The sequence below is a fragment of the Homo sapiens genome, chromosome 12, assembly GCF_000001405.40.
Source record: "Homo sapiens chromosome 12, GRCh38.p14 Primary Assembly".
Lineage (NCBI taxonomy): Eukaryota > Metazoa > Chordata > Mammalia > Primates > Hominidae > Homo > Homo sapiens.
The window spans coordinates 95,735,448-95,760,684 of NC_000012.12; the positions used below are offsets into that span (position 1 = coordinate 95,735,448).

The following is a 25,237-nucleotide window of genomic DNA, read 5'->3' on the forward strand; positions in this document are numbered from 1 at the left end:
GTATGAAAATGGAATAGAAAGATGTCAGCAAACTAATATTATTTTAAAAGGAAATTGCTTCCAATTTCAAAGCAGCAGGAGATTAGTAAGAAAATGAGGTTTCCGTTCCATAGGGTTTTCTAGGATGGAGATGTCTCATTCTAACATCCTTTTGGAATGGAAAAACACTTACTGTATAGTCTCCTTTACTTGGTTATCCTGAACCTCTTTACAGGCTGATAATTTTCTTGCTGGCAGTATATTGTATAGAATAGTTGTATTTTAAGACTTCTTCAAAAGTGTCTGTTAGCTTTGAGTAATTATCCATTGTTGAATTTGGCAGAACAAAGAGAAACTTCTAGAATTTTTATCTTCAGCCTTAGAAAGTGTTGTTAACTCTGAAAGTTTATATTTAGAGGACTTACTTTAAAAAAAGAAAGTAATACTTTTAAATGCCTGCTCATGATTTTTTTTAAATTTTTATTTATTTATTTATTTATTTATTTATTTATTTATTTATTTATTTTTTTGAGACAGAGTCTTGCTTTGTCACTCAGGCTAGAGTGCAGTGGCACGATCTCGGCTCACTGCAACCTCCGCCTCCCAGGTTCAAGTGATTGTTGTGCCTCAGCCTCTCGAGCAGCAGGGAATACAGGCGCCCACCACTATGCCCAGCTAATTTTTGTATTTTTAGTAGAGATGGGGTTTTGCTGTGTTGGCCAGGCTGGTCTGGAACTCCTGACCTCAGGTGATCCACCCGCCTTGGCCTCCCAAAGTGCTGGGATTACAGGTGTGAGCCACTGTGCCCGGCCACCTGAAGTTTTTATAAGGCCCTTGAGAACTCTGGCACTTTGTTGTGGTTGATCAGAGCCATGCAGGTAGTCTCATAGGTCCTTCAGTCCACAAATATTGAGGGTCCACCCTGTGCCATGTTATGGGGGCCTCTGTCATTTTGCTCAGGACTCTACTCTGAGGTGGTCCTGTATGGCTTGGATTATAAGAGACAGTCGAGGAAACAAAAGATCTGCATGCTCTCCTTTCACAAATTCACTAAAATGTCATGGCAAAATATTTTGAGCACTCTACCTCACATAAACTTTCTAGTTCACAGTCTGGTAGGTTGACATGTCTCTAAATATTTGTTATTTTCTGATTGAATCCTACCTGAACCCAGTTAACTGAGATACACTAAATCATAGCACCCTTTATTTGAAACAATACTGTAGGATTTCAAAGATCCATCAGTGTCTAGAAACTAGCAGGTATCTGTTGAATGAATGCTGCATTTTCTTCAACTCTGGGAGCCTGGATTAACTTCTACAAGTAATAGCACTGTTTCTATTTTGGTTACTTTCTGGCTACTGTCCTAGTCATTTTAGTTACCCTGATGCTGCCCCAGCGACTCAGCCCAGCCAGCACAAACTGTCCTGCTGGCTAACTGGATCATGGCTGCTGGTGGCCTATCGTATACTAGGGCTGAGAGAAAGAAGAAAGAATAGGGATGTCTATCCTTTAGGAAATGCAGTAGCATATTCTGCAGCCTTTTCCATTTTATTCATTTTGCTTTGGTTTGCTCAGAAGTATCAGAGCAAAATAGAAAATCAAATAATTGGAGCGCTCATCCTTATTTTCTCCTTGCCCAATCCCCATCCATAGTCTCTGGATGTGTCCCAACAAGGTGCTTACTGCTGAGCCACTCTGTATCTTTTCTGGAAGTCGGGGAGGTAAGGACAGATAAACAATGACACTAATTTTTCATCATCTCCCTATTCCTATGTTGCTATCATTCAACCAAACACCTACTGAGCACCTACTTCTGGCCCAGGTAATACACTTGGTCCTGAGGATACAAAGATCATACAGTTCCTCAGAGAGTTCGTGGTCTCCTGGGGGATGCAGAGAAGTAAAAATTCAGAGGAAAGCCCAGGAGATGTGTGAACCTAGAGGAAAGAGAGTTTAACTCTGCCTTAGGTGAAGAGGGGGTCAGTCCTCTTCATGGAGGAGAATTTTTATTCATTCTGCTGGCTGGACAGCAAAGATACCAGGCATAAAATCGAGGTTCTTATTTTTCCAACTTTAAAATCTACTCCACAATGGTCCCCATTTACTGTCAAAGCTGGCTTGTGTGTGATAATACCACTAATATAATCATGCCATCCTCTCACTCCTGCTCACTTTACACTTTATATCTGAAGGTCACAGTACTAAAAACTGGCATGGGTGTTTTCCAAGGAATCTGGTTATCAGGCTTGACTACAACTCTAAAACTGAAGATTAAAAGACAAGTTAACAGGCACTTTATAGGATGAGTATGGAGTCGGAGCTGTGATGGGCAGAGGAAAAAATCAGCAGCACTATGTTAAGCATATACCAACCAATGCCCAAAGCTGAAGGTAACTTATGATTTGTTTTTCTTAGGGGAGGACTTGTTTCACCTACCATGTGGAATGTTCCTGGGGCCTTGACAGGTCTGAAGCCATGAACAGGTATGCATTGATCAGCGTGGCCATTGCAGAAGCAGCTGCCCTTGACAATGAAATCATAGATTGCATAGTGTGTAAAATGTTGAGGCTCTTCGTTCAGGTCATTTCTCTGACAGGGACAAGACTGTCGTTTCAGCAGCTGCACGCGAAGGTTGGTGATCTTCAGCTGCTCCTGAACTTTGGCACTGTAAGGGTTCTCTGTATCGTATGGTGGTGACAAAGCTTTGAAAATAACCTGTAAGGAGAAAGAAAATACCATGCGTTTATAGGACTGTGCGCAAACCCTGAATTGTTTGCCTAATGTAGTCCCTGTTTGATTTATGCCTTATGTCATCTGTGAACGATAAGATAACAAGAAGTTTTTAGACCTTGAGCACACCTGGGACAGAGCCGCCCTGTTATTCTAAGGAGCAGATGTGCTGCCTGTTTGTACACAGAAGTATACATTGAGTGACCAGCAGAGACCTGACCCTTGAGATAAAGGCAGCCATACAAAGATCTTGCCAGGAAGAGCATTCTGGGCGAGGGAAGAGCAAGCTTAAAGGCTTTGAGGCAGAGTCAAGCTTGGCTTGCTCAAGGAAGAACAACGAAGTCAGTGTGACTGGAGACCAGTGAACAAAGAGAGAGTGGCTGGAGAGGCGGACAGAGAGCAGGTGTGAGATAGACATGAATGGAGCCCTGTGGAAGTCACAGTAGAGTTATGCTGACTGTAGCGGAAGCCACTGGGACACTGTAGGCAGAGAGGTGATATCTGATTTACCTTGCCTAAAAATATAACTCTCTCTTTTTGGATATAAAAGTATCACCTTAGAGATCAATTTCATACCAAAAGTATGAAAAGGAAAGAATCGACTGTGTCACATGTCCAAGGTCTACTGGTACAGACCTGTCCTCAGTGAAATATAACTGTGGGGGAGAGGGTAATAATTCAGCAGACATTTGGCCTCTGCAGCTCATGGTCTAGCCAGTAGCCAGAGTGGTTCTCTATAAACAGAGATTGGATCGTGTCACTCCCTTGCTTAAACCACCCCCACCTGAAGACCTCCCATTCTCCTCAGAACAAGATGCAAGGTCCTTATAATGGCTCTGCCTGGTTTCTGTTCTTAGTACTTATCACCATCTGACATTATATTTGTAGTGGTTTAGTGATTTACTATCTTCCCAGTCCAGACCAAAAACTTCATGTAGGCGGTCACGTATGTATCCCAGGACAGTGGCTGGCACATAGTAAGTATTCAATAAATTTTTGGTAAACAAATTAATTAATTTAACATTGTTCTTGGCATTTGTGTAATAGGTGAGAATTCCAAATAACTTCCTTATGTCGGGTCTAAATTCATTCGCATACTGAATTTCACGTTAAACACCAGTATTATGACAATAATAAGAAATAACGGATTAACCGGTATTTGTATTTCTAGCTATTTTTGAACTTTTAAAGCTTAAACAACATTGTATCTTAAACTCAAACCACATTCTGTCCCATTTATCCACATGCAAAGTGGTGGAAGGAAGCTTATCAGAAAATAAAATTTTCCAACAAACAATATGTCATATATTCAAAAGTCAGTACAGAAGTAACATCTTTTTCTTTTAACAACAGCTAGAACATGATTTTCTGTTTCGAAGCATTTTTTAAAAATTGAATCCATTATGGGCTTTATATGGAACTGATTCTCAACGTGACCTCCAAACACTGACATTTCTGTTAGACAGGAAGAACCCTTGCTCTAAATGATATCAGTAAAGTGCTACCTCCTATTTTATCAACCACAGTAATGCAAGGACATGGAAAAGGACACACCAGTGCTAACCAAGTAAGAGCTCCACTGAAAAGTCTGTGGTGTCCTTCTCCTCGTTATCTGCCCACCCTTCCTTTTCCTGAGCCTCGGTGGCAACTGTTTGGTCTCTCTCTGTCTCTGCCACGTATTTACCCTTGACATTTACCCTAGTTCCCTCTCTCACCCCATTCCATCTCCCCCTCACCCTCAGAATTGTTCCGCACAGGCAAAGCCAGAGGAAGCTCTGTCAAGGTCTGTAGGAACTTTGAAGCTCTTCTGCTTCCTGAGCCCAGACAGTGGGAGCTGAATGGCGGCTCTGTGCTTGGTGTGCATGACACCACAGTTGGCACGCGGATATCAGTAGGGAAGGGACATCATGACCCCTGAGGCTGTGTGCTGGAAAGGAGACAGCAGAGTGCCACAGACACAAAAGTGAACGGGAATTTAAACCATGAAATCTTTTTTCCAGAAAGGAGACGCCTTAATCTGATACCCTGGGAATGGATCTACCCTGCGTCAGGAAACAAAGAGTCCGCCAGTACAGATGCTTCCAACTTCTGGCAGGTCGCCCTTTGGGTCCCACCCAGTTTTTCTTCAAACTTCCCCAGAAGAAGCCTGTATGGCATGAGTGAAATGAAGTAAGAAAACACGTAGAAGCCCTCAGGATAGTATCAGCCTCTTCTGTGTTTTGTTCCCATAAGGAAGGGAATGTATCTATAGGCCCATCACTGATCCTCTGTCTACAACTGCCTCTTAATACACACTCCCAACAAGATATATTAATATTTAGAAAGTCAGGGATTGCGCTTTTTGACCAGGTTCAAGCATACTTCAGTATTTCTGGCTCGTTAGTGCTATTGGCCAGGACTTCATGATCTCATTTTTTAATTAAGAACTTTTATTATGTTTTGGTGGTTAATATTATGCTCATTACAGAAAAATCGGTCATGCAAAATATTAAAGATAATAAGTACCTACAAAGTGATCTACCTCCAAAGATAACCAGGGATGCCAACTTGATAATATCTTTCTACTTAAACTTCTGTATGTATGCATACATATAAAATACAACATAAACATCTTTATATACCTTGTGAGTATTCTTCCAAGTCACTAAGTGTATCTCTACATCAGAGGTTCTCAAAGAATGGTTCCCCAGACCAACAGCACCCCTAGGGAACTTGTCAGAGATGCAAATTCTTGGACCCTATCCAAGATCAACTGAATCAGAAACTCTGCAGGTGGGGCCCAGCAATCTGTGTTTCAACAAGCCTTCCAGGTGATTCTGACACATAACAAAATTTGAGAAACACCGTTACATAATTTTAAAACCTGCTTAGAATTACAGTGTGTGGCTATGACATAATTTATTTAGCCAGGCTGCTATTGTTAGGCAACTAGGTTGCTTCCAGCTTTTCAGTGTAACCCACTGCAGGGAACAACCTTGTAGCTAAAATGTGGATGTACAGACAGTAGTCCGCCCTTATCCTCCGGGAATGACTTCCAAGACCCCCAAGGGATGCCTGAAACTGCAGACAGTACTGAACCCATAGAGACTATGTTTCTCCTATACATACATACCTATGATAAAGTTTAATTTATAAATGAATTATATATGATATATAATTATATATTTATTATATATTAAATACAATTATATATAATTCATTTATAAATTAAACTTTATCATAGGTATGTATGTATAGGAAAAACCTATAATGTAAATTATGTATAAATTATATATATATATATATATATATATATATATATATATATATATATATCTCCTCCATGCCAACCTGGAGGATTGTTATATCCTCTTGATGAAGTGACTGTTTTATCTATGTATGTCCCTTTTTATCCTTGGCAATATTCTTTGATCTAAAATCTACTTTGATAGTAATATAGCCACTCAAGCTTTCTTTTAAAGTGTTTAATATATATATATAAAAATTATATATAATTTATAAATTAAACTTTATAATAGCACAGTAAGAGATTAACAACAAATAATAAAATAGAACAACGAAAAATAAAACAATTATAACAATACACTGTAATAAAATTTATGTAAATGTGGTCTCTCTCTCTCTCTCAAAATATTTACTGTACTCGCCTATTTTTGGACCATGGTTGATGGTTACTGAAACCACGGTAAGTGAAACTGCACATAAGGGAGGACTACTGTAATAATTTCCTGAAGATACATTTCCAAAGCTGAAATCAATGGGTAAAGGAAATGCATAATTTAAAAAATATCTGACCCTCTGAATGAATCATGGACCCCTTCCTACCTAACCTTTGGAATCTTCACATTTTCCTGGTCTTGCCTTATTTCTCTAAGCCTCGAATCCCTTGAACTTTGCCTGAGGATGGGGATTCTTGGCTCAGGCTCTGCCATTTCTTTGTGCCCCAGTGTAACAGAGAAATCCATACAAAGTCCTGAACAGGTGAAAATGACCTATATGATCTTTCTATTCTAGAATACTCATAAAAAATTCTCAATAAGAAGATGGAAAATTAGGCTAGGTGCGGTGGCTCATGCCTGTCATCCCAGCACTTTGGGAGGCTGAGGTGGGTGGATCACAATGTCAGGAGTTTGAGACCAGCCTGGTTAACATGGTGAAACCCCATCTCTACTAAAAATACAAAAATTAGCCAGGCATGGTGGCGTTAAAAAAAAAAAAAAGCATGCTATATGTCTTATTTATGCTTTGAGATGAAAATTTAAACAGAGCATCAATACAGTGTGAACAGAATAAGGAATAAATATTAGGTACATAATAGTCAAGGAATTCTTTGAGAATCAAACTCATATCTTAACATATTGCTCCATGCCTAACATTGTATTGCCTATGTTGAATTATAAAAATTTGTAATAATAAATGTGATCATATTTTTAAAAATTCTTTTTAGCTGCTAGCTTGAGGAATAATATTCAAGGCCGTCCTGTGGACTCCCTTGGAACTCGTTCCTTCCATGATGGCACACTTACACTGTTCTATTGTTGTTGCCTATTTACTTGTCTGTATCTCACATCAGACTCAGTGCTCAGAGGGCAGGGATCCTGTTTGTCTGGTTCACAGCTGTGCTCCCCAGCATGTCCCACAGTCTCTGGCACATTGTAGCATTTCATAATGACTGCTGAATGAATAAATGAATCAACTATTTCTCCAAGTATCATTCTAAGAGGAGAAGCCAAACAGGGTCTAGAGTTTAGAAGAACACAGATAGCAAGATGCTCTTACCACAAGTTCCGCACTCTTGATGAGAACGATGTGAACACACACATCTATGTATAAACACTATGTAAAAATATGTAATACATTTCAAAATGCTTTATGGATTTCTTCTCTTCAGTAGCACACAAGATCTTTCATATTCTTAAGAAAATGGATCAGGCAGGTATAGCAAACACTCCAAGAAATACAAATCTTTTCCATAGTTTCTGATCTAGTTTTCTTATTTACTAAAAATAGCAACTTCAGGAACATAACTGCATTTGTTCTTTAACAGTTCTTAAGATACTAGACACATCCTCACATTCTTAAAGAAGCAGCTTTTTGTTTTAATGATTTTCTCTATTGTTTTTCTGTTTTTCTTTTTCATTGGTTTCTGCTTTTATCTTTATTATTTACTTTCTTCTGCTTACTTTGTGTTTAATGTGCTCTTCTTTTACTAGTTTCTTAAAGGGAAAACTTAGATCATTGATTTGACTTTTTAAAAATAATTCACTAAGCAGTGAATTTTACTTTTAAGCTCTGTTGGACTTGAAGATCATTGATTTGAGATGTTTCTTTTTCCCTAGGTACTTCTTCAGTTGCATCCCCCCGAAGTTTGATACGCTGTGTTTTCATTTCCATTCAATTTCAAAATACTCCTGATTTCCTTTTGATTTCTTCTTTGAATAACTGGAATAAAAAGTGTGTTTACTCCAGTTATTTGGGGATTTCCCAGATACCTTCCTGTTATTGATTTCTAACTTAATTTCATTGTGGTCAAAGAACATATTTTGTATGATATGAATCCTTTTACATTTATCAATACTTGTTTTATGACTCAGTATATGTTCTGTCTTGATAATGCACCTTGTATCCTTGAAAAAGTATTGAAATATCCAGCTATAATTATCAACTTATTTTATTTCTCCCTTCAGGTTTTGCTTCATGTATTTTGAAGCCCTGTTGTTGGGTACATAAACATGGAGGATTGTTGCTTTTTGTTTTTTGAGATGAAGTCTCACTCTTGTCCCCCAGGCTGGAGGGCAGTAGCGCGATCTTGGCTCACTGCAACCTCCACCTCCTGGGTTCAAGTGATTCTCATGCCTCAGCCTCCCAGGTAGTTGGGATTACAGGCTCCTGCCACCACGCCCGGCTAATTTTTGCATTTTTAGTAGAGATGGGGTTTCACTATCTTGGCCAGGCTGGTCTTCAACTCCTGACCTCAGGTGATCCACCTGCCTCAGCCTCCCAAAGTGCTGGGATTACAGGCCTGAGCCACCGTGCCCCGCCAACATGGAGGATTGTTATATCCTCTTGATGAAGTGACTGTTTTATCAGTGTATGTCCCTTTTTATCCTTGGCAATATTCTTTGATCTAAAATCTACTTTGATAGTAATATAGCCACTCGAGCTTTCTTTTAAAGTATTAGTAGGGTATATCTTTTTTTATCCTTTTACTTTTAACTTAGCTATATCTTTATATTTAAAGTGAGCTTCTTATAGGCAGCATACCTAATCTTTTTCAAAAATTTTGTCCAATATTATAATCTATGCCTTTAATGGGGATATTTACACCTTTTACATTTAATGTGATTGATGATATTTACCACTTCACATATAGTATAAGAAACTAAGAAGAGTATACTCTCATTTCCTCCCCTCAACCTTTGCACTGTTGTCATCCATATTACCTCTATGTATATGTTATAAGCTCCACAACACACTGTTAATACCTTGGCTTTAAAAAGCCAACTAATTATCTTTAAAGAGATTTTAGAAATATAAAAAGGCATTTCACATGTATTCACCTACTTTTCCTTTTTGATGATCTTCATTCCTTTTTGTAGGTCCAGATATCCATCTGGTATCATTTTTCTTCTGTCTGAAGGATTTCCTTCAATGCAAATCTGCTGGTGAAAAACTTTTTTTTTTTTTTTTTTGGCTTCTTTATGTCTGAAAAAGTCTTGACTTCATCTTCATTTTTGTAAAATATTTTTTGCTGGGTATAGAATTCTAAGTTGACTTCTTTTTTTCTTTCGGCACTTTAAAAGTTTCTGCCTCCGCTGTCTTCAGGCTTACGTTGTTTCCAACAAAAAGCTTTTGTCATTCTTAGATTTGTTCCTCTGTACGTAATGTGCCATTTTTTTCTCTGGCTGCTTTTAAGGTTTTCTTTTTACCATTGCTTTTTAAACAATTTGATTGTTATGTGTTTTGGAGTAGATTTCTTCTTGTTTCTTGTGTTTAAGGTTTGTTGCACTTCTTGGATCCATGGATTTATAGTTATTATAAAATTTAGAAAAATTTCAACCATTATTTCTTAAAAATTTTTGTTCCCCTCCTCTCCCTTCTTTCCTTTGTTGGTTCCAACTACATGTACCAAATTGCCTGAAGCTGTCCCAGAGCTCACTAATGCTATATTTATTTCTTTTTCTGGCTTTTTTTTCTCCCTGTGTTTCATATTGGGTCATTTCTATTGCTACGTATTAAACGTCACTAATCTTTTCTTCTACAATGTCTAGTCTACTAATCCTGTTTGGTATGTATTTTTCATCTCAGGCATCAGAATCTTCAAAAATGGTCATTCAACTTTTTTTTGCTATCTTTTCCTTGCCTCTGCTTAATGTGCTCCATCTTTCTTCCACCTTTTGAACATAAGAAATACAGTGATAATAACTGTTTTAAAGTCCTCAGCTACTAACTGTATCATTTGTGTCATTTCTGTGTCTGTTTCTATTGATTTGTTTTTCTTTTTATTATGAGTTGTATTCTCTGTTTCTTTGCAGGTCTTGATTAGCTGCTAGGTATCATGAATTTTACCTTGTTGGGGGCTGAATATTTTTGTATTCTTGAGCTTTTTCTTGGGATGCAGTTCAGTTTCCTGGAAATAGCTGGATCCTTTTGAGTCTTGCTTTTACATTTTGTTATGTGGGACCAATGCATTTTCTAGCATAAGGCTAATTCTGCCCCTCTACTGAGGTGATACTCTTCGAATTACTCTAACAATGAATTACAAGGTTTTCCACACTGTCTGTTCCTGGCCCCATGTTACCTCTGGGGATTGTTCCCTCCCTCCTTCAGGGTGTAATGCCCAACCTTGTTTTTACTAACCCTGTTCTTAGTCTCTCCCTTTCCTTTAATCACCTAGACTTGTTTCCACCTGAATTGATTCTCCCTTAGCTAAGAGAGCCAGACAGACTCCATCTTGGCTCTTTCACTGGCAGCCCCTTCCTCAAGGACTTAACTTGTGCAAGCTGACTCCTAGCACATCCAAGAATGCAATTAACTGATAAGATACTGTGGCGAGCAATATCTGCAGTTCCCAGGAATTCGTCCGATTGATAACACCCAAAGCCCCGCGTCTATCACCTTGTAATAGTCTTAAAGCCCCTGCACCTGGAACTGTTTACTTTCCTGTAACCATTTATCCGTTTAACTTTTTTGCCTACTTTACTTCTGTAAAGTTGTTTTAACTAGACCCCCCCCTCCCCTTTCTAAACCAAAGTATAAAAGAAAATCTAGCCCCTTCTTCGGGGCCGAGAGAACTTTGAGCATTAGCTGTCTCTTGGCCGCCGGCTAAATAAACGGACTCTTAATTCATCTCAAAGTGTGGCGTTTTCTCTAACTCGCTCAGGTACAACAAGGGTGTTTCTCTCTCTGGCCTCAGGTAGTTTTCTTGCATATGTGTTGAACAGTTCTCAGCTGGAGACTTGAGAAGGACTATCTGCAAATCTCTGAAAGTCTCTTCCATATAGTGCTCTCCTCTGTGGAACTCTACCTTGCAAACTCTAGCTCCCTTGGTCTTTCCTAGATTCTCGAGTCCTTAAGTCAGGAAATCCATCGAGCTCTATCTAGGTTCCTCTTCCCTGCACTGCAGACTGGACACCCTCTCTAGGCAGTAAGCTGGGGTAATTGTAGGGCTCACCTCATTTGTTTCCCTTCTCTCAGGGATCATTGTCCTCTTCTGCTGGAAGTTCAATACTTTAAAACAATTGTTTCACATATTTTGTCCAGTTTTTTAGTAGTTTCAGGTGGGAGGGTAAATCTGGTCCTTATTACCCATCCTGGATGAGAAGTGACATGTAAAAACCCAAGGCAGCTTAACTTTTATAAAACACAGTTTATAAAACTGTACATAAACTAAGCCTTTATTTTTGTACTCAAATATATAGAAATGGCATATTGGATGTTTTATAATAAAGTTAGAAGTATAGTTATATTTAGTAGATAGAAAGGCATGAAAAATCAATAAAATATGTTCCTGAAAAATTTGAAAAAGAAAATATAAGCATCTAAACTTTGTACATTTATTCAATAATTCTGTTTTAGTAATTTGTGTCTGAATATACCAGTAAACTCCCATTATAACTTTTCAAATAATTTGTGATACCTATTATTATGATCGCCTATATATGTATGTATTGTTTTCTTTTTTTTTCAGAGACAATGTCTTGCTTGAGTCTAGTGGCACAATCATAGCTCACCACAGCCTTGAACTACTGGGCTCAAGTAATCCTCCTGCGTAGCTGGGATTACAGGTGCATGCCACCATGCCCAGCTAACTTCTTTATTTTTTGTAGATACTAAGTCTCACTATGTTGCCCAGGTTGGTCTCAAACTCCTGGCCTCAAGAGATCTTCCTGCCTTGGTCTCTCAAAGTTTTGGGATTACAGGCACGAGCCACTGTGCTTGGACTATTTATATTTTTTGTGTGTGTGTTTATGCTATGTTTTGATGCATCCTTATATATCCCCAACATCTAATACAATGCCTTATGAATTCTCAATAATGTTACTGAATGAGTGAATCTGAATCATGTCAATACAGGTTTATTTTGATTTTCCAATATAAAAATAATGGAATAACTATAATAAAAATTTATTTTTATAATGTACATTTCATTAATAAGCAAAAATTCTAGGTACATATTGCCTCACAATAAACTTTATCACTTAAAAAATATCTTAATTTTTATGGTAATCTTACACCCCCTTCAACATAACTAGCACAATTTTACTTTATAGAAAAAATATATTTAATATGCCAGGCATGGTGGCTCACACCTGTAATTACAGCACTTTGGGAGGCTGAGGCGGGTGGATCACAAGGTCAGGAATTCAAGACCAGCCTGGCCAATATGGTGAAACCCCATCTCTACTAAAAATACGAAACATTAGCTAGGCATGGTGGTACGCACCTGTAGTCCCAGCCACTCAGGAGGCTGAGGCAGGAGAATCACTTGAACCTGGAAGGCAGAGGTTGCAGTGAGCCGAGATCATGCCACTGCAATCCGGCCTGGGCGACAGAGCAAGACTCTGTCTCAAAAAAAAAAAAAAAAAAGAAAAGAAAAGAAAAAATAGATTTAATATTAATCAGCTTATTATTTATTCATTACATTATTCAAATATGGCATTGAAAAAGTATTAAATATTTGAATATTTTCAGTAATAAATTTACACCAACTGCAGGAATGACTACAAACATTTAGGGAGAAATCCCTGGAACTTTTGCCTAATATAATCTAATAAAAAGACAAATCACCTCCATAGTAAAACCTATTTTCTTTTCTTTTTTTTTTTTTTTTTTTGAGATGGAGTCTCGCTCTGTTGTCCACGTTGGAATGCAGTGGCATGATCTCGGCTCACTGCAACCTCCCGGTTCAAGTGATTTTCCTGCCTCAGCCTCCAGAGTAGCTGGAATTACAGGCACATGCCACCATGCCCAGCTAAGTTTTGTATTTTTAGTGGAGCTGGGGTTTTACCATGTTGGCCAAGCTGGTCTCGAACTCCTGACCTCAGGTGATCCACCCAGCTTGGCCTCCCGAAGTGCTGGGATTACAGCTGTAAGCCACCATGCCTGGCCCTATTTATATATATAAAATCACATTTCTTCCCTACTGTGTCTAAGCCTGGTTGGAATAGGATCTATAGTGAGAAACATTTCCACTTGTATTTGTCAGGCCTCTGAGCCCAAGCCAAGCCATCGCATCCCCTGTGACTTGCACATATACGCCCAGATGGCCTGAAGTAACTGAAGAATCACAAAAGAAGAGAAAAGGCCCTGCCCTGCCTTAACTGATGACATTCCACCATTGTGATTTGTTCCTGCCCCACCATTAACCCTGTGAATTTCCTTCTCCTGGCTCAGAAGCTCCCCAACTGAGCACCTTGTGACCCCTACCCCTGCCCACCAGAAAACAACCCCCTTTGACTGTAATTTTCCATTACCTTCCCAAATCCTATAAAACGGCCCCACCCCTATCTCCCTTCGCTGACTCTCTTTTTGGACTCAGCCCGCCTGCACCCAGGTGAAATAAACAGCCATGTTGCTCACACAAAGCCTGTTTGGTGGTCTCTTCACATGGACGCGCATGAAATTTGGTGCTGTGACTCGAATTGGGGGACCTCCCTTGGGAGATCAATCCGCTGTACTCCTGTTCTTTGCTCCGTGAGAAAGATCCACCTATGACCTCAGGTCCTCAGACCGACCAGCCCAAGGAACATCTCACCAATTTTAAATCAGGTAAGCGGCCTCTTCTTACTCTCTTCTCCAACCTCTCTCACTGTCCCTCAACCACTTTCTCCTTTCCACTCTTCAATCTCTCCCTTCTCTTAATTTCAATTCCTTTCATTTTCTGGGAGAGACAAAGGAGACACATTTTATCCGTGCACCCAAAACTCTGGCGCCGGTCACGGACTGGGAAGGCAGCCTTCCCTTGGTGTTTAAACATTGCAGGGACGCCTCTCTGATTATACACCCACGTTTCAAAGGTGTCAGATCACGCAGGGACGCCTGCCTTGGTCCTTCACCCTTAGTGGCAAGTCCTGCTTTTCTGGGGAAGGGGCAAGTACCCCAACCCCTTCTCTCCTTGTCTCTACCCCTTCTCTGCTTTTCTGGGGGAGGGGCAAGTACCCCTCAACTCCTTCTCCTTCACCCTTAGCGGCAAGTCCCGCTTTTCTGGGAGAGGGGCAAGTACCCCTCAACCCCTTCTCCTTCACCCTTAGTGGCAAGTCCCGCTTTTCTGGGGGAGGGGCAAGTACCCCTCAACCCCTTCTCCTTCACCCTTAGTGGCAAGTCCCGCTTTTCTGGGGGAGGGGCAAGTACCCCTCAACCCCTTCTCCTTCACTCTTAGCGGCAAGTCCTGCTTTTCTAGAGGAGGGGCAAGTACCCCAACCTCGTATCTCTGCGCCCCAATCCCTTATTTCCACGCCCCTACCTCTTATCTCTGCGCCCCAATCCCTTATTTCTGTGCCCCGACCCCTTATTTCCATGCCCCAACCCCTTATTTCTGTGCCCCATCCCTTATTTCCGTGCCCCGACCTCTTATCTCTGCGCCCCAACCCCTTTTCCCACTTTTCTGGAAGGTAAGAACCGCCGAACCCCTTCTCTCTGTTTCTCTACTCTCTCTTTTCTCTAGGCTTGCTTCCTTCACTATGGGCAACCTTCCACCCTCCATTCCTCCTTCTACTCCCTTGGCCTGTGTTCTCAAAAACTTAAAACCTCTTCAACTCACACCTGACCTAAAACCTAAATGCCTTATTTTCTTCTGCAATGCCACTTGACCCCAATACAAACTCAACAGTAGTTCCAAATAGCCAGAAAATGGCACTTTGAATTTCTCCATCCTGCAAGATCTAAATAATTCTTGTCGTAAAATAGGCAAATGGTCTGAGGTGCCTGACGTCCAGGCATTCTTTTACACATCAGTCCCTTCCTAGCCTCTGTGCCCAGTGCAACTCGTCCCAAATCTTCCTTCTTTCCCTCCCGCCTGTCCCCTCAGTACCAACCCCAAGCGTCGCTGAGTCTTTCTAATCTTCATTTTCTACAGACCCATCTGACCTCTCCCTTCCTCCCCAGGCTGCTCCTCGCCAGGCCGAGCTAGGTCCCAATTCTTCCTCAGCCTCTGCTTCTCCACCCTATAATCCTTTTATCACCTCCCCTCCTCACACCTGGTCCGGCTTACAGTTTCCTTCCGTGACTAGCCCTCCCCCACCTGCCCAGCAATTTACTCTTAAAAAGGTGGCTGGAGCTAAAGGCATAGTCAAGGTTAATGCTCCTTTTTCTTTATCCCAAATCAGATAGCATTTAGGCTCTTTTTCATCAAATATAAAAACCCAGCCCAGTTCATGGCTCGTTTGGCAGCAACCCTGAGACGCTTTACAGCCCTGGACCCTAAAAGGTCAAAAGGCCGTCTTATTCTCAAAATACATTTTATTACCCAATCTGCTCCCGACATTAAATAAAACTCCAAAAATTAAATTCCGGCCCTCAAACCCCACAACAGGATTTAATTAACCTCGCCTTCAAGGTGTACAATAATAGAAAAAAGTTGCAATTCCTTGCCTCCACTGTGAGACAAACCCCACAACAGGATTTAATTAACCTCGCCTTCAAGGTGTACAATAATAGAAAAAAGTTGCAATTCCTTGCCTCCACTGTGAGACAAACCCCAGCCACATCTCCAGCACACAAGAACTTCCAAACGCCTGAACCGCAGCGGCCAGGCGTTCCTCCAGAACCTCCTCCCACAGGAGCTTGCTACATATGCTGGAAATCTGGCCACTGGGCCAAGGAATGCCCGCAGCCCGGGATTCCTCCTAAGCCGCATCCCATCTGTGTGGGACCCCACTGAAAATCGGACTGTTCAACTCACCTGGCAGCCACTCCCAGAGCCCCTGGAACTCTGGCCCAAGGCTCTCTGACTGACTCCTTCCCAGATCTTCTCGGCTTAGCGGCTGAAGACCGACACTGCCCGATCACCTCGGAAGCCCCCTAGACCATCACGGACGCCAAGCTTCAGGTAACTCACAGTGGAAGGTAAGGCCGTCCCCTTCTTAATCTATACGGAGGCTACCCACTCCACATTACCTTCTTTTCAAGGGCCTGTTTCCCTTGCCTCCATAACTGTTATGGGTATTGACAGCCAGGCTTCTAAACCTCTTAAAACTCCCCAACTCTGGTGCCAACTTAGACAATACCCTTTTAAGCACTCCTTTTTAGTTATCCCCACCTGCCCAGTTCCCTTATTAGGCTGACGCTTTAACTAAATTATCTGCTTCCCTGACTATTCCTGGACTACAGCTATATCTCATTGCCGCCCTTCTTCCCAATCCAAAGCTTCCTTTGCGTCCTCCTCTTGTATCCCCCCACCTTAACCCACAAGTATAAGATACCTCTACTCCCTCCTTGCACCTCTTACCATCTCATTAAAACCTAATTACCCTTACCCCACTCAACGCCAATATCCCATCCTGCAGCACGCTTTAAAAAGATTAAAGCCTGTTATCACTCGCCTGCTACAGCATGGCCTTTTAAAGCCTATAAACTCTCGTTACAATTCCCCCATTTTACCTGTCCTAGAACCAGACAAGCCTTACAAGTTAGTTCAGGATCTGCGCCTTATCAACCAAATTGTTTTGCCTATCCACCCCGTGGTGCCAAACCCATATACTCTCCTATCCTCAATACCTGCCTCTACAACCCATTATTCTGTTCTGGATCTCAAACATGCTTTCTTTACTATTCCTTTGCACCCTTCATCCCAGCCTCTCTTTGCTTTCACTTGGACTGACCCTGACACCCATCAAGCTCAGCAAGTTACCTAGGCTCTACTGCCACAAAGCTTCACAGACAGCCCCCATTACTTCAATCAAGCCCAAATTTCTTCCTCATCTGTTACCTATCTCGGCATAATTCTCATAAAAACACACGTGCTCTCCCTGCCAATCGTGTCCGACTGATCTCTCAAACCCCAGCACCTTCTACAAAACAACAACTCCTTTCCTTCCTAGGCATGGTTAGCGCAGTCAGAATTCTTACATAAGAGCCAGGACCACACCGTGTAGCCTTTCTGTCCAAACAACTTGACCTTACTGTTTTAGCCTAGCCCTCATGTCTGCGTGCAGCGGCTGCCGCTGCTTTAATACTGTTAGAGGCCCTAAAAATCACAAACTATGCTCAACTCACTCTCTACATTTCTCATAGCTTCCAAAATCTATTTTCTTCCTCATACCTGATGCATATACTTTCTGCTCCCCGGCTCCTTCAGCTGTGCTCGCTCTTTAAGTCCCACAATGACCATTGTTCCTGGTCCGGACTTCAATCTGGCCTCCCACATTATTCCTGATACCACACCTGACCCCCATGACTGTATTTCTCTGATCCACCTGATATTCACCCCATTTCCCCATATTTCATTCTTTCCTGTTCCTCACCCTGATAACGCTTGATTTATTGACGGCAGTTCCACCAGGCCTAATTGCCACACACCAGCAAAGGCAGGCTATGCTATAGTACAAGCCACTAGCCCGCCTCTCAGAACCTCTCATTTCCTTTCCATTGTGGAAATCTATCCTCAAGGAAATAACTTCTCAGTGTTCCATCTGCTATTCTACTACTCCTCAGGGATTATTCAGGCCCCCTCCCTTCCCTACACATCAAGCTCGAGGATTTGTCCCCACCCAGGACTGGCAAATTAGCTTTACTCAACATGTCCCGAGTCAGGAAACTAAAATACCTCTTAGTCTAAATAGACACTTTCACTGAATAAGTAAAGGCCTTTCCTACAGGGTCTGAGAAGGCCACCACAGTCATCTCTTCCCTTCTGTCAGACATAATTCCTCAGTTTAGCCTTCCCACCTCTATACAGTCTGATAACAGACCAGCCTTTATTAGTCAAATCAGCCAAGCAGTTTTTCAGGCTGTTAGTATTCAGTGAAACCTTTATATCCCTTACGGTCCTCCGTCTTCAAGAAAAGTAGAACGGACTAAAGGTCTTTTAAAAACACACCTCACCAAGCTCAGCTACCAACTTAAAAAGGACTGGACAATACTTTTACCACTTTCGCTTCTCAGAATTCAGGCCTGTCCTCAGAATGCTACAAGGTACAGCCAATTTAAGCTCCTGTATAGACGCTCCTTTTTATTAGGCCCCAGTCTCATTCGACACCAGACCAACTTAGACTGTGCCCCAAAAAAACTTGTCATCCCTACTATCTTCTGTCTAGTCATACTCCTATTCACCGTTCTCAACTACTCATACATGCCCTGCTCTTGTTTACACTGCCGGTTTACACTGTTTCTCCAAGCCATCATAGCTGATATCTCCTGGTGCTATCCCCAAACTGCCACACTTAACTCCTGAAGTAAACAAACAATCTTGGCTGGCAGGACTATGCTGAATCTCCTTAGGCACTCTCTAATCAGATGTCCTAGGTCCTCCCAATTCTTAGACCTTTTATACCTGTTTTTCTCCTTCTTTTATTCCATTTAGTTTTTCAATTCATACAAAACTGTATCCAGGCCATCACCAATCATTCTATAAGACAAATGTTTCTTCTAACAACCCCACAATATCACCCCTTACCACAAAATCTTCCTTCAGCTTAATCTCTCCCACTCTAGGTTCCCACGCCGCCCCTAATCCCGCTCGAAGCAGCCCTGAGAAACATCGTCCATTCTCTCTCCATACCACCCCCAAAAATTTTCGCCGCCCCAATACTTCAACACTATTTTGTTTTATTTTTCTTATTAATATAAGAAGGCAGGAATGTCAGGCCTCTGAGCCCAAGCCAAGCCATCGCATCCCCTGTGACTTGCACGTATACGCCCAGATGGCCTCAAGTAACTGAAGAATCACAAAAGAAGTGAAAAGGCCCTGCCCCGCCTTAACTGATGACATTCCACCATTGTCATTTGTTCCTGCCCCACCTTAACTGAGTGATTAACCCTGTGAATTTCCTTCTCCTGGCTCAGAAGCTCCCCCACTGAGCACCTTGTGACCCCTACCCCTGCCCACCAGAGAACAACCCCCTTTGACTGTAATTTTCCATTACCTTCCCAAATCCTATAAAACGGCCCCACCCCATCTCCCTTCACTGACTCTCTTTTCGGACTCAGCCCGCCTGCACCCAGGTGAAATAAACAGCCATGTTGCTCACACAAAGCCTGTTTGGTGGTCTCTTCACATGGACGCGCATGAAAGTATTATAAAGCCATCATTTGTTTTATGTGGTTGTTTACTAGTTATTTACAAACAGCATCTGGTTAATTCAGTTAAATCTTGTCACTACACATTCACAACTGTTCTGATTATTGTTAGGTTGCTAATACACCTAAAACCCAAACGTAGAAATAGACACATTTGTCTCCATTTCTATTGTTTATTAAGTTATGTAAAAACTTAAATCTGTCATGCTTTTTAGGTTCCTAAAATATATGTAATTCGCAGACTAGTTTTTGTATTGTCACCTCACTTGAAGAGGAAGGTTATACTTCAATTGACTCGTGAAACCAATTTCTGGCATCGCCTAAGTTGACATTTTGGTACCAGAGTTGAAAAACCCAAAGAGCATACATTCTGTCAGATGAGGACATGTATCCTAGTATGTTCTGAAACGGGCTTTCTGCTTCCATGGATAGGTGGCCACTTGGAAAGTATGTGAAGTTTCCAGGGTTGCAGCGAGTGGGAGTTCTGGTTTCATGGAAAGAGAAGGCTGGACTAGAAGATAGCATAATTGACATGTGGGCGTCTGCAGCTGGTTGGTTTAATTTTAGAACATTTGTCCTTGACTGTGCCCCTTTAAGTGAAGTACCTACTTGTATTAGAGAAGTGTGTCTGTCTTTTGGGCAGCACCAAAATCCTTTTGCTTATACTCTGGAGCATTCGGCACCCTGTTTCATCAGATAGCCCACCCTTTAAAGTGGGAAAGTCTTATCTTCTGAGATAGGACAATATAACCTAATAAAGCTCTCAATGGAGCAAGCTGAAGAATGCAGTGCACTCAAGTGACTTACTTGTACGATAATAACCTCAATTTGTAAGTACACAAAAGCCTCTTTGCATGTTTCAAGGGCATATTTACAGTTTTAAAGTGATGCAAAGGCAGCTTCGTAAATATCTTCAGGGAAAAGGGAAATGACAGAACTGTAACTGAGGAATGAGAAACAAGATAGAAAACCAAATTGAAAATAAAGACTGGGGCTAAAAATAAATTTTAAAAATTCTTCAATACATGTGGAATCCTAGCCTTTTTTTCTTTTTGCCCTCAGGACTTGAAGTCAAAGGATCTGAGTGTCAGAAACGTCCTTAGCAATCAATGGGCTAGTCCAATTAGACGAAACTGAGGCTCTGAGAACTTGAAGTGATTTGCCAAGTGTCAATCAATAGGTTGGTGACAGAGTTAAGACTGGAATCAAAATCCTAACCTCCAATCTAATGATTTTTTCACTATATCCCATTTTATACTTGTTTTAGAGTTAGCCATTCCTGGATTAAAATTAAAAACATAGGATTAAAGAAAATATTATATATGATTGATACCATCAGCACTTGTCAACCAAATAATGGATAGGATGAACTGTGCCACCTTTATTCTGTGAATGGATGTGATTAACTGTACACTGGTTAAAAGTAGTAATACCTGCTTCTGCCTGGCTCGCAAAGATGTAGTGAACGTTTTCTTCAAAGGTCTGAGATGTGGAAATGCCTTGAAAAATCACTGCCCTTTATAAATAAGATTGATTGGTGTGTCGCTTTTTGTTGGGAACCTGCCTTGTTTTTGTCAATCTCCCTTCTTTGGGACTGAGTCCTCCTGGGGAGTACAGCTCGGTGACTAGGATTCATGGACAGGCCTCTTGGATGCTGTGTGCCTACACTGGTAACTTCCCAATACTGATCACCTCAATTTCCTATCACCATGCTCGGCCCACACTTAGGAATACCCCACTACTTCGTCTTGGATCATCAATCTCTTGCCTGCTTGACCTCTGGTGGAAATTGCCTGTATGATCTCTCTTTTTTTTCCCTGCCCATCCTTCCCCACTCTTTCTTCCTCTCTTTGTACCCAACTTTATACTCCAGCCATACCGAGAACCCCTTTCTGTTCCTGGAAAGCTCCATGAACTTGCTGCCTGCCCAGCTGTTGCCCATGCTATTCCCCAGCTGGATCACTTGCCACACCTCTCTGTCATTGCCACCCATTCCGCTCCCACCCTCTACTTGGTCAACTCATGCCAATCTTTTAGATGTCATCTTTGATGTAACTTTATTCAGGAAGCTCTCTTTATCATCCCTGTTCCTTCTATGTGCTACTTCAAGCACCCGTTATTTCTTCCAGACTTAGAATATACCATGTCTATTTTTAAATTTGCTTAATTGCTTGTATTTCTCTCTAGACTGTGAGTGAGACATGAGTGCAGGGGACCTTGTCTGCTTGCCCATCAGTGTGTAGGCAATGCTTGGCATATATGAGTTAACACATATTTGTTGAAAACTCATATTCATGCTTAATAATGGCTTACATTTTATAAACTGTCTTTATTTTTATCTCATTTCATCCTTATAGTAAATCTATGATGTGGTATTATCCATTCCCCTCTTTCAGATACAGAAACTCTGAGAAGATGTTAATTAACCTATCCAACATCACCTAGCTAGTAAGTGGCAGAGCCAGTACTTGAACCCAGGTTGTTGGAGTCCAAGTTCAGTGCTATTACCATTACATCACAGCTGACTTTGTTTGGTTATAGAATACATAGCAAGTGATCAGGGGAGTGAAATGAACAGACCTTCCCTTCAGGAGAATTAATATGGCAAAGAGAAGACTCTGAACCATGGTAAAGGCAGTTTGGGGAATAAGAGATGTAGTGGGGAGCAGGGGAAGAACAGCCACGTGTGAGAGGCAAAGAAATGAATGTTGGAACAAAAACAGAACTAAAGGCTGAGCTTTGGGGGCCATCTATGGTTAGAGCTCAGAAAGAAGAAGAGCCAAAAATAATACAAAAAAAAAAAAAGATCCGTGAGCAATATGGGAAAATAGTGAAAATTCATTATCATAGAAGCCCAAGGAAGTGAGAATGCAAAGTAAAAAAAAAAAAATGTAATTAAAAATGGCAAATGCAATTTATTAGAAAAAAGGAGATTACAAAAACCTTTCTGGGTTTGGCTGGATAACAGAAGACTATTGAGAGCTTAGATGGAATAAGGGACAGCTATAAAGGATTCAGGAAAGAGCATGAGACAAGTAAATGGAAGCAAGAAAGAACTGATTGAAGAATTTTGGCAGTTTATTCATTCATCAGTTGATGGATAGTTGGGTTGTTTACAGATTCTGGCTATTATGAATAAAAGTGCTGTGAACATTCACGCAGAAGTCATTATAAGCATGTAAGTTATTTTTCGTGGGTACTTAGGAGAGGAATTGCTAGGTGGTATGGTAAGTGGATATTTATAAGGAACTGCCAAAGTGTTTGCTAAAGTTGTTGTACTATTTTGCATTTCTAGCAGCAATGTATGATGAAAATTTTAGTTGCTATACCTCCTCTCCAATATTTAGTGTTATCAGTCTTCTGAATTTTAGGCTTTATAGTGAAAGTGAGCAGTATCTCCCTGTGGTTTTAGTTTGTATTTCCCTGTTGACTAGTGATGCTGAGCATCATTTCATGTGTTTGACATGCATCCTCTTCTCTGGTGAAGTGTCTGTTCAAATCTTTTGCTCAGTTTCAATTCTTGTTTTCTTCTTATTGAGTTATGAGTTCCTTATGAATTGTGATATGTAAATATATATTCAGTTTGTAATGATTTGCAAATATTTTCTATCTGTGGCTTCCTTTTAACACTTTCCTTAACAGTGTCTTAATAGCAATAGTTTTTTATTTTATTTTATTTTTTGAGACAGGGTTTTGCCCTGTCGCTTGGGCTGGCTGGAGAACAGTGGCACGATCACGGCTCACTGCAGCCTCAACCTCCTGGGCCCAGGTGTACCTCCCACCTCAGGCTCCTGAATAACTGAGACTACAGGCAAGCACCACCACACCAGGCTAACTTTTTAATTTTTTGTAGAGATGGGATCTCCCTATGTTGCCCAGGCTGGTCTCAAACTCCTGGGCTCAAGTGATCTGGTCTCCCAAAGTGCTGAGATTACAGTCGTGAGCCATTGTGCCTGTCCAGTTTTTAATTTCTATGATGTTCAGTTTACCAGTATTTCTCTTTTACAGTTTGTGCTGTTTTGTGTCCCATTCTAAGAAATTTTTGCCTAAACTCAAGGTCATAAATATTTTCTCCTAGAAGTTGTATAGATTTCAGCTCTTATATTTAGGTCTGTAGTTCATTTTGAGTTAATTTTTCTCTACAGTTGAACTAAGTGTTGAGGTTCTTTTTTCTGTCCCTTCACATATGAATGTCTAATTATTCCAGCACTGTTGATTAGAAAGACTAACGCTTCTTCATTGAATCAGCGTGGTAACTTTGTTTGATGTGCTTTTCTTTACAGCTTGTTTTATTTTTTACTTGGGGTTTACTGAGCTTCTTAGATCTGTGGATTTATAACTTTCATCAAGTTTGGAAATTTTTTTTTTCCTGTTACTCCTACAAAGATGTTTTTTGTCCTCAGCTTCTTCTTTTAGACTCCGATTACTTGAATGTTAGACCACTTAACATTGTCCCACACTTCACTGATGCTCTTTTTACTTAATCATCTTTTCTGTCTGTGATTCATTAATAGTTTCTATTGTTATGCCTCCAAGTTCACCAAACTTTTCCTCTGCACTATCTAATCTACTGTCAGTCCCTAGTAGTATTTTTGTTTTTTTTTTTTTTTGAGATGGGGTCTTGCTCTATCTCGGCTCACTGCAACCTCTGTCTCCTGGGTTCAAGTGATTCTCCTGCCTCAGCCTCTTGAGTAGCTGGGATTACAGACACCTGTCACCACACCTGGCTAATTTTTGTGTATTTTAGTAAAGACGGGGTTTTACCATGTTGGCCAGGCTGGTCTGGAACTCCTGACCTCAAGTGATCCACCTGCCTCAGTCTCCCAAAGTTCTGGGATTACAGGTGTGAGCCACTGTACCTGGCCCCTTGTAGTATATTTTTTAAATTTCAGATATTGTATTTTTCATCTTTAGAAGTTCCACTTACATCTTTTAAAAATATCTTCCATTTCTCTCTTCCACATGTTCATGTTCTTGAACATACGGAGTATATTTATAGTAGATGATCTAATGTCCTGGCTTGCTAATTCTACCAGCTGTGTAATTTCTGGATGTTCTTATTCATCAATTTTTCTTTTGGTTAGGAGTCATATTTTCATGCCTTGTAATTTATTAAACATTAGACATTGTGAATTTTATATTGTTGCTTGATGGATTTTGATATATTTCTCCAAAAAGGGTTAGACTTTGTTTTGATATGCAGTTAATTTATTTGAGATCATGTTCAGCTTTTTGAAGATTGCTGTAAATTTTTATTAGGGTGAACCCAGTTTTGCCTTTATTTTAGGGCTAATTTAACCCTATTACAAAGGTTTTCTGAGGGCTCTACCAGATGCCTGTGAATTATGAGGTCTTTCCGGTCCAGACAGTGAGAAGGTGAACTATTCCCAGACTCATAGGAATACTAAGAATGGTTCAACTACTACTTTCTGACAGTTCTTTCTTCACTCTTTTAGAGTTTACCTCACACATATGCAGCTCAGTATTTAGCCGAAAACTTAAGGAGACCTTTGTGTACAGATCTCTGGACTTCTCTTATGTAGCTTTCTCCTCCCCAGTATTCTACCCAACAAATTCTAGCTGCCCTGGCCTCCTTGAGCACTCATCTCTGTCTCCTCAACTTGGTGGGCCCACTGGACTCTGGGTTCTCCTTCCTATGTGTTGGCTTGGAAATGTCCAATCAGCAAATTGGGGCAATTGTAGGGATTGTTATGTTTGTTTCTTCTTTCTCAGAGCACGGTCTTGTGCTGCCTGTTGCCAATGTCTGAAAACAATTGTATCATCTTTT

At 40.8% G+C, this 25,237-nt stretch overlaps 1 protein-coding gene across 4 annotated transcripts in view, besides 4 other annotated features; it reads right to left on the reverse strand.

The window, feature by feature from the left end:
- NTN4 (netrin 4) overlaps positions 1 to 25,237 on the reverse strand; it is a 133,349-nt gene that overhangs the window by 77,641 nt on the left and 30,471 nt on the right. For all 4 annotated transcript variants that reach the window (NM_001329701.2, NM_001329700.2, NM_021229.4 and 1 more), the window contains exon 3: positions 2,419 to 2,697. In NM_001329701.2, coding sequence (NP_001316630.1) covers positions 2,419 to 2,697 — 279 coding nt within the window. The remainder of the gene's footprint in view (positions 1 to 2,418; positions 2,698 to 25,237) is intronic.
- Positions 5,357 to 5,501: an enhancer, noted in NCBI's record as "145 bp 12:96134654 sequence used in MPRA reporter constructs". NCBI's record gives its function as "activates a minimal TATA-containing promoter with rs11108230 allelic activity by MPRAs in C283T melanocytes {active_cell/tissue: C283T}" and the evidence as "EXISTENCE:reporter gene assay evidence [ECO:0000049][PMID:36423637]".
- Position 5,429: a transcriptional cis regulatory region, noted in NCBI's record as "rs11108230 or 12:96134654 MPRA-significant variant associated with a GWAS melanoma risk locus at 12q23.1". NCBI's record gives its function as "allelic transcriptional activity by MPRAs in C283T melanocytes {active_cell/tissue: C283T}" and the evidence as "EXISTENCE:reporter gene assay evidence [ECO:0000049][PMID:36423637]".
- Positions 11,955 to 12,099: an enhancer, noted in NCBI's record as "145 bp 12:96141252 sequence used in MPRA reporter constructs". NCBI's record gives its function as "activates a minimal TATA-containing promoter with rs7131946 allelic activity by MPRAs in C283T melanocytes {active_cell/tissue: C283T}" and the evidence as "EXISTENCE:reporter gene assay evidence [ECO:0000049][PMID:36423637]".
- Position 12,027: a transcriptional cis regulatory region, noted in NCBI's record as "rs7131946 or 12:96141252 MPRA-significant variant associated with a GWAS melanoma risk locus at 12q23.1". NCBI's record gives its function as "allelic transcriptional activity by MPRAs in C283T melanocytes {active_cell/tissue: C283T}" and the evidence as "EXISTENCE:reporter gene assay evidence [ECO:0000049][PMID:36423637]".